This window comes from Homo sapiens, chromosome 1 (genome assembly GCF_000001405.40).
Source record: "Homo sapiens chromosome 1, GRCh38.p14 Primary Assembly".
NCBI lineage: Eukaryota > Metazoa > Chordata > Mammalia > Primates > Hominidae > Homo > Homo sapiens.
Genome location: NC_000001.11, coordinates 110,748,624 through 110,764,043, shown reverse-complemented (window position 1 = coordinate 110,764,043; position 15,420 = coordinate 110,748,624). Strand labels below are relative to the sequence as shown.

General features: G+C 40.0%; 1 long non-coding RNA gene across 1 annotated transcript; it reads left to right on the top strand.

Moving 5' to 3' along the window:
• The first annotated feature begins 276 nt into the window (after nt 1-276).
• LOC124904296 (uncharacterized) lies at nt 277-15,160 on the top strand. The gene is made up of 3 exons (XR_007066362.1): nt 277-297; nt 11,598-11,706; nt 13,046-15,160. It is a non-coding gene; the product is annotated as an uncharacterized LOC124904296 (long non-coding RNA).
• The last annotated feature ends 260 nt before the right edge of the window (nt 15,161-15,420 follow it).

The window sequence follows — 15,420 nt, the reverse complement described above, 5'->3', positions numbered from 1 at the left end:
ATGTTATAAAATTATTCATTTGATAATTCTGTTTTATTCATTTTTCTCTGTTATAGCTTTCTACAACGTCTATTAGTTTGATGTTAGAATTCTCCATTTTCCTTATGTTTTTTCTCTTCTTATTCATATCTTTGTGTTTTACTTTCAGTGAGACTTCATCAACTTCATGTTCCAGTTCTTCTTTTAAATTTTTAATTTTTGCTATATTGTGAATGTATAAGAGTTTTTTCTTATTCTCTTCAGATTCCTTTTTTATAGCATCCTTGACTCTCTGGGGATATTAATTATTGCTTTAAGGTAAGTTTTTTTCTGTTCTTTGTTTGCTTTTTTTTTTTTCTTTTTTTTGGAGAGCTTTTCTTTTCTCTCTGCTTTTTCTGTGATAGACCTTTCTAAAAAATCCAGACTCTGCTTTGCATTCATTTCTAAGAGTAATACACTGAAACTCTCTGTGATTGAGTGAGACTTAATACTGCTGAAATCCAACCCATAGATGTTTTCCTTGGGAAAATACATGTGTGTGTGCATGCGCTTGTATTCCCTTTCCTCTTTCTCCCTGGCCACTGTGATCCCCAGAGGAGGAGGCACCAGTCTTTTCCATTGAGGTTTAAGTGTAGTAGATGGCCTTTGCTAGGGTAGGGAAAGGGAGCTGAGTGCCTTATCATTCAGGATGCAGCCTTTCACGTGACCCCTCTCTTTTGAGTTGGTTACCTCATCCAAGCTCTCTGCCATACCTTGTATCTCTGAATTCAGAAGCACTCTGGTTCAGCTGCTTCATAGAATAAATCTCTCCTCTCCCGCCATAAGAGAGGGACAGTTACCTGGATGTCCAGGGTGGAGGTCTGGAGGTCGAACTGACTGTTTTGTAGACTTTCACCCAATTCCTCTGTTTTCAACTATACCACACTTCCACCTTTGCTATAGACTGAATGTGTGTGTCTGTTCCCTCAAAATTTATTTGTTGAAATTCTAACCCCTAGTATCGATGGTATTAACAGGTAAGGACTTTGAGAGGTAACTAGGTCATGAGTGCTGAACCCTAATGAGTGGGATTAGTGCCCTTATAACGGGGACCTTAGAGAGTTTTCTCATTCCCTTCACACCATGTGAGGATACAGGAGAAGGTGGCAGTCTGCAACCTGGAAGGAGGCCCTCACCAGAACCCAACCATGCTGGCACCCTGATCTCAGACTCCCAGGCTTCGGGACTATGGGAAATAAATTTCTGTTGTTTATAAGACACCCAGTCCATGGAACTTCATTAGAGCAGCCCAAACTGACTGAGACAACCTTCCACAGCACCTGGTGTCCTTAGTTTTTTGGTCTGTCTGTGGCTCTTCAGAATGAATAAAGTTGCTTCTCACTGGTATACTATCCACAAACACTTAGCTTTCATCTTTTTAAGCTTTCTGTGATCTGCTAAATCAATTCCCAACATCTCGTATAGTTTTGTGTGTATATATTGTGGTTTGGGGTTACATATGTTTTCCTAGTTTCACCAGTGTTGGAGTGTATGTCCTGTTCTAGTTCTCCTTATTGCTTTGGGGTGATTTTTTTTTTTTTTTGAGATGGAGTCTCGCTCTGTTGCCCAGGCTGGAGTGCAGTGGCACAATCTCGGCTCACTGCAAGCTCTGCCTCCTGGGTTCATGCCATTCTCCTGCCTCAGCCTCCTGAGTAGCTGGGACTACAGGCGCCTGCCGCCACGCCCGGCTACTTTTTTGTATTTTCAGTAGAGACAGGGTTTCACTGTGTTAGCCAGGATGGTCTCCATCTCCTGACCTCGTGATCCGCCCGCCTCGGCCTCCCAAAGTGTTGGGATTGCGGGCATGAGCCACCACACCTGGCCGGCTTTGGGGTGATTTTTAAAGAGATGTAGGAGAAACGTCAACTCATACCAGAAGTTCCTCATCCCTACTTTGCCCCTTCCACTTCTACTGCTTAATTCACATCCTTATTGACTCTCACCTATACCTTTAAACTATCATCTAGCTGTTTGTCTTATCTCTAGTTATTTCTCCTACAATCCATCCTTCACATATAACCAGGTCTGATTGCACTCCTCCCCAACTCAAGAACTTTCAATGACCACCTACAATAAACAGAACTATGTTCTTTCCAATTTGGTTTCAACCATCTTTTCCAGTCTTATTTACTTCTATACTCACAAACTTTAGTCTCCAACAAGCATCTACTGGAAAATTACCATATATCAGGGTCATGCTAGGCATTCATGGATACAACTATTAAAATACAGTCTGTACATTTGGAAACCTCAGAGTCCTTCATTAAAGTCTGCAGGATGAATGGATGAATAGATAATACATTTAAAAACAAGTAAAGGAAGACAGCATTTTTCTCTTCCTGGCATCTGCTTCCCATCCTCATACATGTCTGTTAAAATTCTACCCATTCAAAGTCAACCTCAAGCTATAAGCCTCCTTTATTTCTGTGTTGGAATTAATCTCTTTCATCCCTCCTACTCCACTGAGCACTGTCTCTGTACTGCTATTAGAACACTGAATCCAGGTAACCTTGAATGTGCTTATGGATATGTCTGTCTCCCTCACCTGATGGAGAACTCCTGAGTGGTAGGGACCACAAAGATCTTATAATATCAGGAAAGTGTTTTGCATAAAGCAGAAACTAAATAAAAATTCATTGAAAATATCACTTTTTCCTGTTGCTGAATTCGAGGAAGAAATGTTCAGTTGGTGTATAAACATTTAAACATTTATTAATCTACTCTGGGCCAGGCCTTGTGCCATACACTGCAGTTACAAAAATGAAAAAGACACAGTCATGCCCTGAAGTGCTGCCCTGTCCAACAAGGAGACATAAGTGCAAACAATTATAAAAACATGTGATAGGTGCAAAGCCAGAGGTGGGAGCAGGGTGGGAAGAACTTAGAACCCTGCCTGAAGAAGAAAGTAAAGTGGGGTAGGGTCAGAGGGGTGGACCAAAAAGAAGGTGATATCCAGCTAAGACATGAAGGATGAAGAGCAGTTCCCCAGAAGGAGAAGGAATAAAAAGCAAATTCTAATGGTTGTTATTTTCACTTATGGCTGTATCGAAGGAAGAAAAACCATGAATCTATTCAAGCAGATTCATTCCTTCAATATTCAAACACTTATTAAGAACCTACCATGGACCAGGCCCCATGCTAGGCAGATATTTTTAATACAGATTGGCTAAAAAGTATGTAAAGAAGCAGCACATGTCAATTCAACAAAGTATTTTATACAGATTAGCAATAATATAGTCCAGGTAAGTTTTCCTCATGATTTCTTAATTCAAATAAAAAGCCTAGAAAAATAATGCATACAGATAACAAATTCATTAGGCAGTTTCTCTCAAATATCAACTGTCCCAGCAAGCATTTGGCAAGAGCTTCATCACAATCAATTCCTGGTTGAATTCTCTGATGAGGGTTGGAAATGCCATTATTCTGAGTTGCTGATTAAAGAGGGATTCACATGCTTTACACACACCAGATGTGCAGGAGGTGGAGCCCACTGCCTCTGCTGAATAATTAGGAGCCTGATTTACATTCTCTGTCAGAGGCAGGGCCCGTATATTTCTCATTGCAGCTGAGGAAGACTGTGTGTGCGTGCATGTTTAAGTGTTTAGTGCTAACCTCTTGCCAGGCACCATGCTAGACACTTTACATTATCTCCTTTATTTTTTGCTGTGATCTTTTTGAGACAGATATGTTATAGAGATGCCTGTGGAAACAGAAGCATTTATTTTCTTCTATATATTATTATTTATTGTATCAGGGATGTTGCCAGTCAATTCTAGTATAGACAGAGAGAATTGCCTTGAAACATTTTTCTGTTCAGGGAAGTTACTTGAGTAGCCTCTCAAGACAAGTAGGTGCTCTGCACCCCGGGAAGGTTATAACAGCACCTGTTTTGTGCTAGACCATGCTTTTCCTTTTTAATTTCTCTGAATCTGTGGGGTTTATAGGTAGAAAGGGACTGTTCACATTTCAACAGGGCGAAGAAGCTCCAGGAAGCTAAGAAATGGAGATCCAATGGTTCCTTTTGAAAGTCATTATTACTAGAATCTCTTTGAATGAATGTTCTCCCAACTTAAATGTCAGCTCTGCAAGAGCAGGGTTCTCTGTATCTAAAAGACTCGGATAGTGGCTCGCACATAGTAAGTGCTCAATAAATATTTGTTGAGTGACCCTTATCCCCCAATTCTTTAGCGCATACACCTGCCCCCAAGTTTTCCAGATTAAATTTTAACTTTTCCTTTCTTATTAATTCTCCACTAATCTTCCTGAAATAACCAAAAGTTTCAGCAGCTTTTAAAGCCTCTTTATATATTCACATCCAATTGAAAATTATAAAAATATGTACTCAAATAAAAGATAATGTCTGTCCTCCTGTTTGTTATAACCAGAGAATGTGCAATCAGATTATCTAATAATACTTATGTCAAGTTGTTTAAATAAATAAGCTAAAAAAAGAGGTGGTAGTTAATAAGAGCACATTTTAAACCGTTTAATGTGGAATTATATACATTATTAGGCAGGTACTACTTCTGATTTTGTAATAATGTTTCTTCACTGGAATCTATGATAAATTCATTGTTTGAGATGACATCTTTGTGAGGCTATCTAAACTTAAGCCTTTGGATTGATTTAGCTAAATTTCATTCAAAGTGTTTTAAAATAAATTTACCATCATTTTGATGTTTTTAGAAATCTTTATAAAATCAACAGATGAAAGAGTTAGAAGAATTTGATTTTAGCCTGCCAATAATCTATTAGTCTATTATTTGAGAGGAAATCTATGTCATTTCAAGTCAATTCAATAAACACACATCGAAAACCAACTCTATGCCAGGCATTAGGATATGAACAAAATACATAAAGATGTGAAACATGGCACCTGCCCTTAAGAAGCTTATAGTCTAGTGGGGAGAAACAAATGACCAAGGAAATGGATATAATGCAGATAAGAAGTGGAATAAGATCTGAGGGGCTGATTTTTTATAGGATAAAGGTAATGTCTGTACACTGTGAAAGGAAGGAAGATAGAGTATGAATTTACAGATATTGGTAGTTTCTGTTTTGAATTATAGAGAGGTTCATTCCATATTAATCTTCTTTATCCACTTAATACCTTTATTACTCTTATATGTACAGTCAGATTTAGGGCAATAATATTTAGGTTTAGAATAAGCTTAAAGATGAAATGCTGACCTTCAGTCTTGTCTAGAATATTTTTCTGAAGAATTGAGATAAACAATGAAGGATGGACAATTAAATGACCAGTAATGCTGGCTCCTTGGTTGAGGCGTATATGAAATTTACTCTCAAATTATTCTACAAGCTATCATAAATATTTTTAAATTGCTATAATAAAAGATCCTAGGTATGTTTCCATCTTTTGGTCACCTTTGAAAAGAGGCCAAGGAAGAACAATCCTCAGATCAGTTATTCCAAAAATCACTGCTATTCTGGAAGGCAACTCCTCTACACTATTGTCAGGCAAAAGATGTCTGAAAACAATATAAAATTCAGGAAGGTGTCTGCATTTTCCCTGACATTATTCCTTTTCAAATATGTTCCAGTGGCACTACACTAAGCATTTTACCTATGTTATCCCAATTAAGCTCCCCACAATCCTATAAAGAAGTCATAAAACCACTGAATGTAAAGCTCATGTGAGCAGAGACTGCAGTCTCTTTCATTACCAGCTGTCTCCCCAGAGCCTAGAACAGAGCCTGGAATTGCACAGATGCTTGTAAATATTTTTGGAATGAATGAAAGGTTGGCTGACTACATGTTAAAGAACTTTCTCAAGGTCACATAGCTAGTAAAGAGTAGAGTCAGGACTCCAACTCAGATCTGTCCGATTGCAAAGCTTCTGCTTCTAACCCCTACGCTCTATTATCTTCCCTGGCTTGAAACTACATTTTCCATCAATTCCAGACAGCTGAAAAATCAGGATGTCCAATATTTCCAGAGGCACCAACTGGAAAACTGCCCTAGTTAGTCTTGACAAGAAACTAGAGTGGGGATTAAGAGAGCAGTCCTTGTTTTAAGGAGACTCAGAGGTGGGACAGTGATGGCTAATTCACCTCTAGGTACCATCTAAGTTGGCATCTTTGAAGATATGTTGTGAGGTTTAAATAATATTCTATATGTAATAGACTTAGCCTGGTACTTAAGACTTAGTAACAATCAATAGTTGCAAGAACAAAGACAGTAACTGTAAATTTTATAGAACATATGATGCTGTTATCCTAAAATGTTGAAAGTAAATGACAGTAGAGCTTTAGAGTGACTTTAGATGGTAAGACTGATGTCCAGCACAGTTGCCTGACTCATGTAGTAATCATTTGAATGGCTTAATGAGCCTCCTATTTGCCTTCCTATTTTAATATAACAGGAGTACTGAGAAATATATTTTTAAATTGTATTCTGAACACTTTACAAATCCCGACTCCTTTAACCCTCATAACAACCTTTGAGGTAGATATCATGATTACCATCCCCACTTTACACATTATTTTACTTAATAGATTTGAATTCAGCCTGTCAGTAATCTGTTAATCTATGATTTGAGAGGAAATGGAGGCACAAAGAGGCTAAGCAATTTGACAAGATCATGTAGCTGGTGAGTGCCAAGGTGGGATTAAACCCAGACAACATGGCTTCAGGTCTATGCTCTTAACCAGTATACTCTAGAAAAGAGCAGTGTAGTCAGTTCTAACTCCTATGGCCTGCTGGCACCCTGAAGCTGGCTGCCTGTATGAACCTACAGTACAGACTATGTAACAAACAGACAACAAAATACAAATTTATAATACTTCAGAAATTGGTAGTTGTCAATGTCTTTATCATAAGAAGAAGGAAGACATAAAATCAGTGATCTAAGTTTACTTCCATCTTAAAAGCTGGAAAAGGAAGAGCAAATTAAATCTAAAGTAAGTAGAAGAAAATAAGTAACAAAAATAAGGACAGAAATCAATTAAATAAAAAATGGACAAACAGATAAAATCAGTGCAAACATTTATTATTAGAAAAGATGAATAAAATTGGTAATCCCCACCTAGACTGCTGTGAAGATTATAAAATGCGATTTAAAATTTTTGATGCTCTTTCCATCAAGAAATGGACTCTATATTTCTTCCTCTTAATTTGGGCTGGCCTCGGTGACTTGCTTGTAACCAGTAAAATTTGGTGAACATGGCAATGTTTTACTTTCAATCTATGTTAGGAAAAGCCAAACAACTTCCAACTGGTTCTCTTGGGATGCTTGCTCTGGAAGAAGACAGCTGCTAAGCTGGAGAGGCCACATGTAAACACTCCATCAACAGCCCCAGCTGAGCTCCCAGCCAACAGCAGGCACCAGCTGCCAGCCATGTAAGGAAGCCATCTTGGGCATCCTGCCTAGTTGAGTCTCACATGACTGGAGCCCCAACTGACAACTGAATTCAATGACATTAAAGGCTCCAAGTGAGAACTGTTCAGCTGAGCTTTTCTCAAATTTCAGCCCCACAAAACCATGAGTAAATTAAATTTGTGGTCTTAAGCTGCTAATGCTAGGGATAATTTGTTAAGCAGCAGTCGTAATCCAGACACTCATCAAGAATAAAAAGAAAATACAAATTTTTGGTATCAGAAATGAAGGAGGGGACAACACTGTAGATACTATACACATTAAAAGGAGAATAAAGCCATATGATGAACAACTTTATGTCAGTATATTTGGCAATTTAGATTAAGTGGACAAATTCCTCAAAAGACACAAATTACCAAAACTGCGACAAGACATAGAAAATCTTAATAGCCATAAATATGTATGATAAAAGAAGAAATTAAGTTTATATTCAAAAATATTCCCACAAAGGAAACTTTAGCCCCAGATAGTTCAACAGTAAATTTAATCAAATATTTAGGGAAGAAATAATACTAATGTTACATAAACTCAGAAAATATAGGAGCTAGGAATACTTCCAAACTCATTTTAGAAAGCCAGCACAATCTTGACATCAAAACCTGACAAAGACATTACAAGAAAACAAAACTTCAGACCATGAGTCCCTTGTGAATACAGACATGAATATCACTAATAAAGTGTTAGAAAATAATATCCACATATCTATAACATAATCTAAGTGAGTTCGTACCAGGAATGCAAAGTTGGTTCAACATTCAAATATAAATCGACTTCTATATGTGAAAATCAATTGAATTTCTACATAGTAGTCAAAAACAAGTAAAAAATCAAATTAAAACAATTATTCATAATAATATCGAAAAGATTTAATATCTAGAAGACTAATGAAAGGTACAAAAGATGCCTACACTGACAATCACAAACATTGCTAAGAGAAATTAGAGACTTAAATAAACAAACATGTCCGTGAATTACAAGACTCAATATTGTTAAGATAGCCAGTCTTTCATATTAACCTATGGATTCAATTTTTTAAAAAACAGTCAAAATGCCACAGGCTTTTGAAAAGAAATATGACAAGCTAATTCTATGATTTTTATGGAAATGTAAAGGGTTTAGAATAGCTAAACTTTAAAAAGATGAGGGAGTTGGAAGGCTTACACTACTTGATTTCAAGAATTTCATTAAAATACAGTTATTAAACTGTGTGGCACTGGAATAAGGATAGACAGATCAATCCAATGGAACAGAACACATAGTCCAAAAATAGTTCCCCATACAAAGTTAACTGGCTTTTAGCCAAAGCCCAAAGTGTTTTATTCCATACAAATTTCTGTATGGAATAAAACAAACCTCAACCTCTGTTTTACACTTTACACAAAAACTAATTTGGGATGGATCACAGACCAAAATGTAAAAGCTAGAACCACAAAATTTCAAAAAGAAAGCATAGAAGAATATCTCTGAAACCTTGAGGAAGGCAAGATTTCTGTGGACACAAAAAGCACTGACTAATAAGAAAAAATGATACATTGTACTTCATAAATATTAAAAAATCATTGTACTTCATAAATATTAAAATTTTTCTGCTAATCAAAAATCAAGAAAATGAATAGGGAACCCGAAGTCTGGGGAAAAAATTTGCAATGCATACATCTGACAAGGATGTATATCTAAAATGTGTAAACAATTCCTACAAATCAACAATAAAAGGTAACATTTTTAAAAAGAGGCCATAGATTTGCACAGACATTTCACAAAAAGAGATATATAAATGGACAATATACACATGAAAAGGGCTCAACATTATGAGTCATCAGGGAAATGTAAATTGAAATCACAATGAAACCATTTAATACCCACTAGAATGGCTAAAAATCACGAAGATCGATAACACCAACCGTTGGGGCAAAGACATGGACCAACTAGAACTCCCTATGGGAATAAAAACCAGAACCCTTTGCCTCCAAGTGGGTGGAGAGACAGAAGGATTGATTGGAAAGAGACAAATAGAAACTCTCTGGAGTAATGAAAATACGTAGTTTGGTTGGCATATACATGGATGTGTGCATACAATTGTCAAAACTCATCAAACTGAGCACTTAAAATCTGTGCATTTTATTATGTGTAAATTATATCTCAAAGACCTGAATGCATGCACACAGACACATACACACATGAGTGTACTGTGCTTCCCACAGAGAGGCTTCCAAACCAAGTCCCTACATTTGGTAGAGGAAATTCAGTTTAAGACTCCAATTAAATGAAGACAAGAGAATTCATCGTTAAACAGAACTAGATCACACTGACACCCCACCACCTCCATGACCACCCCTGGGGCAAGGTCCTGGGTATCCTGCTACCATGGTGAATGACAGGGCAGGTCTGGGCGGGTACACCGTAGGAGATCTGAAGGCCCAGGGCCAGAAGAGCAGCCAACACGCCTCCAAGCTCTGTTAGGCTCCTGTCTCATTGTGCTGGGTGGGTACGCTGCTTTGGTCTGAGCTCACACATTGATGTTTTTTCTGTCAACTCCCTGAGTGAGTCTGCAGCTAAATAAAAGTCCTTCCTCCCTTTCTCCCACCACCTCACCATAGCATTTTTCTAGTTATTTGCATGAGAAAATGTATTCCATTTCACTATATCCTGGTGGGCAGAATATCTTTTAAACATCCTCTGCATCTTTTCTTCCCCACTTCTCCTTTTACTCTCACAAACGTTTTTGAAACTACTCTATGCTTGTGCTTCTCAAATTTTAATATGCATATGAATCACCGGTAGATCTTATTAAAAGCCAGATTCCGATTCAGTAAATCTAGGATGGGAACTTAGATTCTGCATCTTTAAGAAGTTCCTAGCTGGGCGCGGTGGCTCGCGCCTGTAATCCCAGCACTTTGGGAGGCCAAAGCGGGCGGATCACGAGGTCAAGAGATTGAGACCATCCTGACCAACATGGTGAAACCTGTCTCTACTAAAAATACAAAAATTAGCTGGGCGTGGTGGCGCGCGCCTGTAGTCCCAGCTACTAGCGAGGCTGGGCCAGGAGAATCGCTTGAGCCCGGAAGGCGGAGGTTGTAGTGAAGATCGCACCACTGCACTGCGGCCTGGCGACAGAGGCTGGTGCAGGCACTTGCATGCGGGAGGCAGAAGTTGCAGTGAGCCGAGATAGCGCCAGGCGGTGTCAATGTTGTTGGTCTGAGGATCCCACTTTAAATAAAAGTTTCCCGTAATGTGCTAGCTGTGCAGTAAATGCTAGTCTCTCCTCCTATGTGCCCGTTAGGATAATTCCATGTGGAGTGGGTACCAGAGTAAAATTAAGAAAAAAAGATGCAATTCTGATTCTCTCTCTCACTCTCTTTTCTCCTCTCAAGCCCTGCCCTTAGTGCCTGTCACTACATGTGACAAATGGCTCTGTTTTTCTGAGCTACACACACCCACCTCCAGTGACATCTGCCTTCTTCCGAAGATATCAGAGGAGAGAAGGCAGGATTACTCATGATAGTCACGATTTGCTCTGTCCCACAGTGCAGATGGAAAAACTGAGGCATGAAGAGGCCGCTTCATAAACTATGTTGAACTAGAAATGAATACAGCATGAAGCATCACCATTTACCACCAGGATAGTATGACATTAGAATCTAGGTATGTTGGCCAGGGTATTTTTTAGTGGCTTATGCATTGGAATTAGGATGAAGCTGGAAACCATCATTCTGAGCAAACTATCGCAAGGACAGAAAACCAAACACCGCATGTTCTCACTCATAGGTGGGAATTGAACAATGATAAGACTTGGACACAGGGTGGGGAACATCACACACCAGGGCCTGTCCTGGGGTGGGGGAAGGGGGGAGGGATAGCATTAGGAGAAATACCTAATGTAAAAGGCGAGTTAAGGGGGGCAGCACGCCAACATGGCACATGTATACATATGTAACGAACCTGCACTTTGTGCTCATGTACCCTAGAACTTAAAGTAAAATAAAAATAAATAAAAAATAAATAAAATTTAAAAAAAGAAACTGAAAAAAAAAAAGAAAATCTCCTTCCATGCTGTTCTTAGATTAAACATTAGATCAATATAGCATTCCAGGAGGGCTCTGTGTAACAAAGCAAATAATTTCTTTTCGCCTCACCTCTTTCAGGTCACCTTTTCTAACTGATACTTATTGTTTTCATTCAACAGCCATTTACTGAGCACCTACTAGTTGGCTTTCCATACTCATTGAGAATACCAAGAAGAATAAGCTCATTTCTTATGCTGAAGAGGAGACAGACATGCAAATCAAGAAGTGGTGAGCTGAAGGAAGAGAAATTTATCAGGCAACTGAATGAGAATATTTATCAGGCCTACAACGTACCAGAGACCATGCAGCCTTTTTCCAGTGGCCTTAGTAGCAGTGGGCACAGAATGCTTAGTTCTGCCGGGGAAAATGAATGACTCTAGAGCAGTTTCATTTGAGCTCAGCCTTGAGAAATGAGGGAGAATTCACAGGGGGAGAAAGCACAGAGGGCATTCTGGACAGCGGGAGGGCAGCAAGAGCAATGTTATGAGATGATAGGGCATGCTGTCCCCAGCATATGAGCCATGCAGGGATTCAGAGCTAGCCCTTCCACTGTGGTCCTTACAGTCTTTGCAGTGTCTTCATGTGCATTATCTTACTTGATCTGAGAAGTGTGCATCTTTCTCCCAAGCCAGAGCACTAATTACCTGTCAGCTAGAATGAGGGAGGCTTAGGACACACCTAGGAAGGGCTAAAGAGAATGTTACAGCCATTCTGAGAAAGTGATTAAAATTTCCAATGTGTTCTACAAGTCTTCTGCTTCTCCGTAATTTTCAATGCAATTATTATCTCATTCTTTGGGAGCAAGCAGCTCTCCAGAGAGGCTTCCTCAGCAGCCCTGACATTTGTGAATCAGAGCCTGCACTCCCAGCTGTCTGAGATGGCCTGACAGCCCCCTCTGCATTTCCAGCAGTGACCTGGCTGCCTCGCCTGAGGAGGCCTTAGTTTTGAACCTGAGTCCCCAGCACTCCTCCGCTGGAGTTCTCAAATACCTTTGCTGTGGCACACACCCACGCTCAGTTGGATGTCCCTGGGCCCCTCTAATGCCTGAGGAAAGCAGAATTTTCAAGAACAAATGCAAACAAAGAAAAAAAGGATAAAGATAAATACAGCAGCTCCAATACAATGATTCTCAAACTTCCATGTGCATTTCATGCCCTCAAAGGGCTCATTAAAAATTCCTGTGGCCTGTTCTCAACCTGGAGAATCAGATTCAGGGACTCTAAAGCCAACTCTGAAAATTTACTTTAAAAAAAAAAAACCAATCTAGGTGACTGGGATATAGACCAAAGTTTGAGAATATCAGCATTTGGGTTTGGAAATCTCTATAATCAGAGCATATTGACTTCCTCCATGCACTCCGTGGGTTTCCCCATTCACAGGTCTGGGTTCAGTAGCTGATAATTTCTGATATGAGACAAAAGGTGAAGTTGGAGGTTGTAGATTAAACTTCATAAAGTTTCCCAGCCCACACCACCCTACACAGATGGAAGAGAGAATAATCTTTGCTATTATTTCTCCAACCCCACTTGCATGTCATAACCTTCTTTTCTTGCCCTATCTTTCTTAGGACACATTACAAAATGACCCAGGAGACACTGAGGGCCTCTGCTCCATCCTTGCCAATTCTGAGAATAGTGCAGCCACAAGGAGGATTGTTCTGAGGCTTCTCACAGGGCACAAAACCCCCACGCACTGTCCTCTGGCCACCTACAGCCTCTCTGACTCTGCACTGCCTCTGACCCTGCACTGCCTGCTTGAGCAAAGCAGTCTTTGAAAACCATTTCCAGCCTGGCTAATGATGCAGTGCTTTGAAAAGTGCCACCAGGATGAAAAACAGCTCACAAATGGGGACTCCTCGTTATTTTACCAGCACAGCCGGCAAGAAGCTCCTGCCAAGCAAGATCAAACTTCTCAGGAATGTTTTGAAAAGCTGGTGGAAACAAGGGCCTCTGTCACATTTCTGTCACACCTCACCCCAGCATGTGGGGAAAGCTCTCTTGGAACGAATGTTAGTCGGTCTCAGAAACACACAAAATTGATGTCTCCAGCAGCATTGCCATTTCCACTGCAGACTTAAAGCTATATCTTTCTGGATTCTAATGCAGAAAGGGAACAGTTAGAGAATCCATCCAGGCTTTTTCTAAAATGAGAGCCGGTTAAAGATGCTGTTTAAAAAGGTGCCTCTCAAAGCTTCCCTCCTGACCTTCCATACCAAAAGCCTGAGCTTAATTACCTACATAATTTTCCTGGCTCCTGTGCTGTGGTCCAGGGGCCCTCTCTGTCCACCGGAAGCTAAGCCATCTGTCGGACATCTCTCTCTGGACTCCCCAGGGTTCCCTCTCACCTACACATCTCGATTAGCAGATGACAGTTCTGCTATAATGTTTATTTTACCTCTAACAGATTTTCAGCTAAGTAGGTGAAGGGGCGGAGGTTCCCTGCCCAGAGCCAGTTCTGGGCTTCCTTTGGCTCCTCCTTCCAGTCTGCTAGGAAAAGGAACCTGGAGGCCTTTAGGAGGGAGGAGAGATCACATTTTCTTTGCCATTGAGTAGTGAAGGTCAGGCCCTCCTTGCCAGCCACAAAGCAGAGAATTGTTTGTTTATTTCTCCGAGTAGCACTGTTCTGTCTCTGTGAGCAGCAGACAAAACCAGAAAAGGGAATTCATTCTGTGGAGCAGACCAAAGGCAGGGGGAAAACTTGTCCTTTGGAAAGATAAAAGCAAATTCAATGAAGTGATCATCTTAAATCTTCTAGTTATTCTTCCCCTCCACCACCTTTCACCCCCAATCTGAGTTTTCCTGGGATTTAGGTAAGAACCCATGAGAGAAATGAGATATGGCAGATAGAGATGAGAGCAGCAATAGGAACTTGGGGTGGAAAGGTGTGCATTCATCTATAGATCACTCAGCCAAATAAGCCACTTAGAGAGTCCAGGCCCACATTAATTCCTTTGATGACTCAGTGACGAGCAGAATGCATTTGCAATACAGTAAGGCCAGAAACCTGGAAGAAGCATCCTCCATTCCTCCCTCTCTCTTATCCTCCACACCTAAGCCATGATCAATCTTACAGAGTCTGACTCCTAAATATCTGTCAAACTCACGCTCTTCTCTCCATTTCCATGGCTACTGCTGTAATTCAGCACCATCGATTCCTGCCCAAATGATTGACACAGCTTTCTAATTAGGCTGTTTGCCCCTTCCAATCTACTCCCCACATAGCACCCAGAGAAACCTTTCACAGGTGCAAATCTTATGCCATTTTCTGGATAAAACCCTTCAAGATCTTATTTCCTCCTCTCTTCTCCAGGCCCTAGTTTTATGCTGAAAGCCCCAAGTCCTGCATAATTTGGTTCCTGCTTATTTCTCCAGCCTTAACCCTTACAGCTTCCTGCTTCAAACAGTAGGCTCTAGCAAACTTAGCTTTTCTTTTGCAAAATAGACCAAATGCTCTTTCACTTTTGTGCCATCATGCATGCTGTTTTCTCTGCTTGGAACAATCTTTTTGATACTCCCAGCCTTCCTTAATTAGCTATTTCCTACCTGAACTTTAGGTCTCAACTAAAATGTCACTTCCTCTAGAAAGACTTTACTAGCCCTCAAGGCAGTTGAGCTAGAAGTTTCCTCTGTGCTCCCATAGCAACTTATGGATTCACACGGCCCAGTTGTAAGAGCCAAGAGAGCAAGAGCCACAGCTATGAGGGCCACCATTGTATTCCTGGCCCTGGAGAAGAAAACAAAATAGGCTCAATAAAAAATTTTAAAATAAATAAATGGTATCTCTAATTTTTTCCTACTTAATGTTCAAGAGACTACAACTATAGTTTACTTCTGCCTCATAGTTATAAAATTTTTCCTTTTACTTCCCGAGATTCAGGATAAACTAGCGTCTTTCCATCTTTCTTCTTCTTTTCCTCAAAGCCTGTCAAAGGGATTGCCCTCA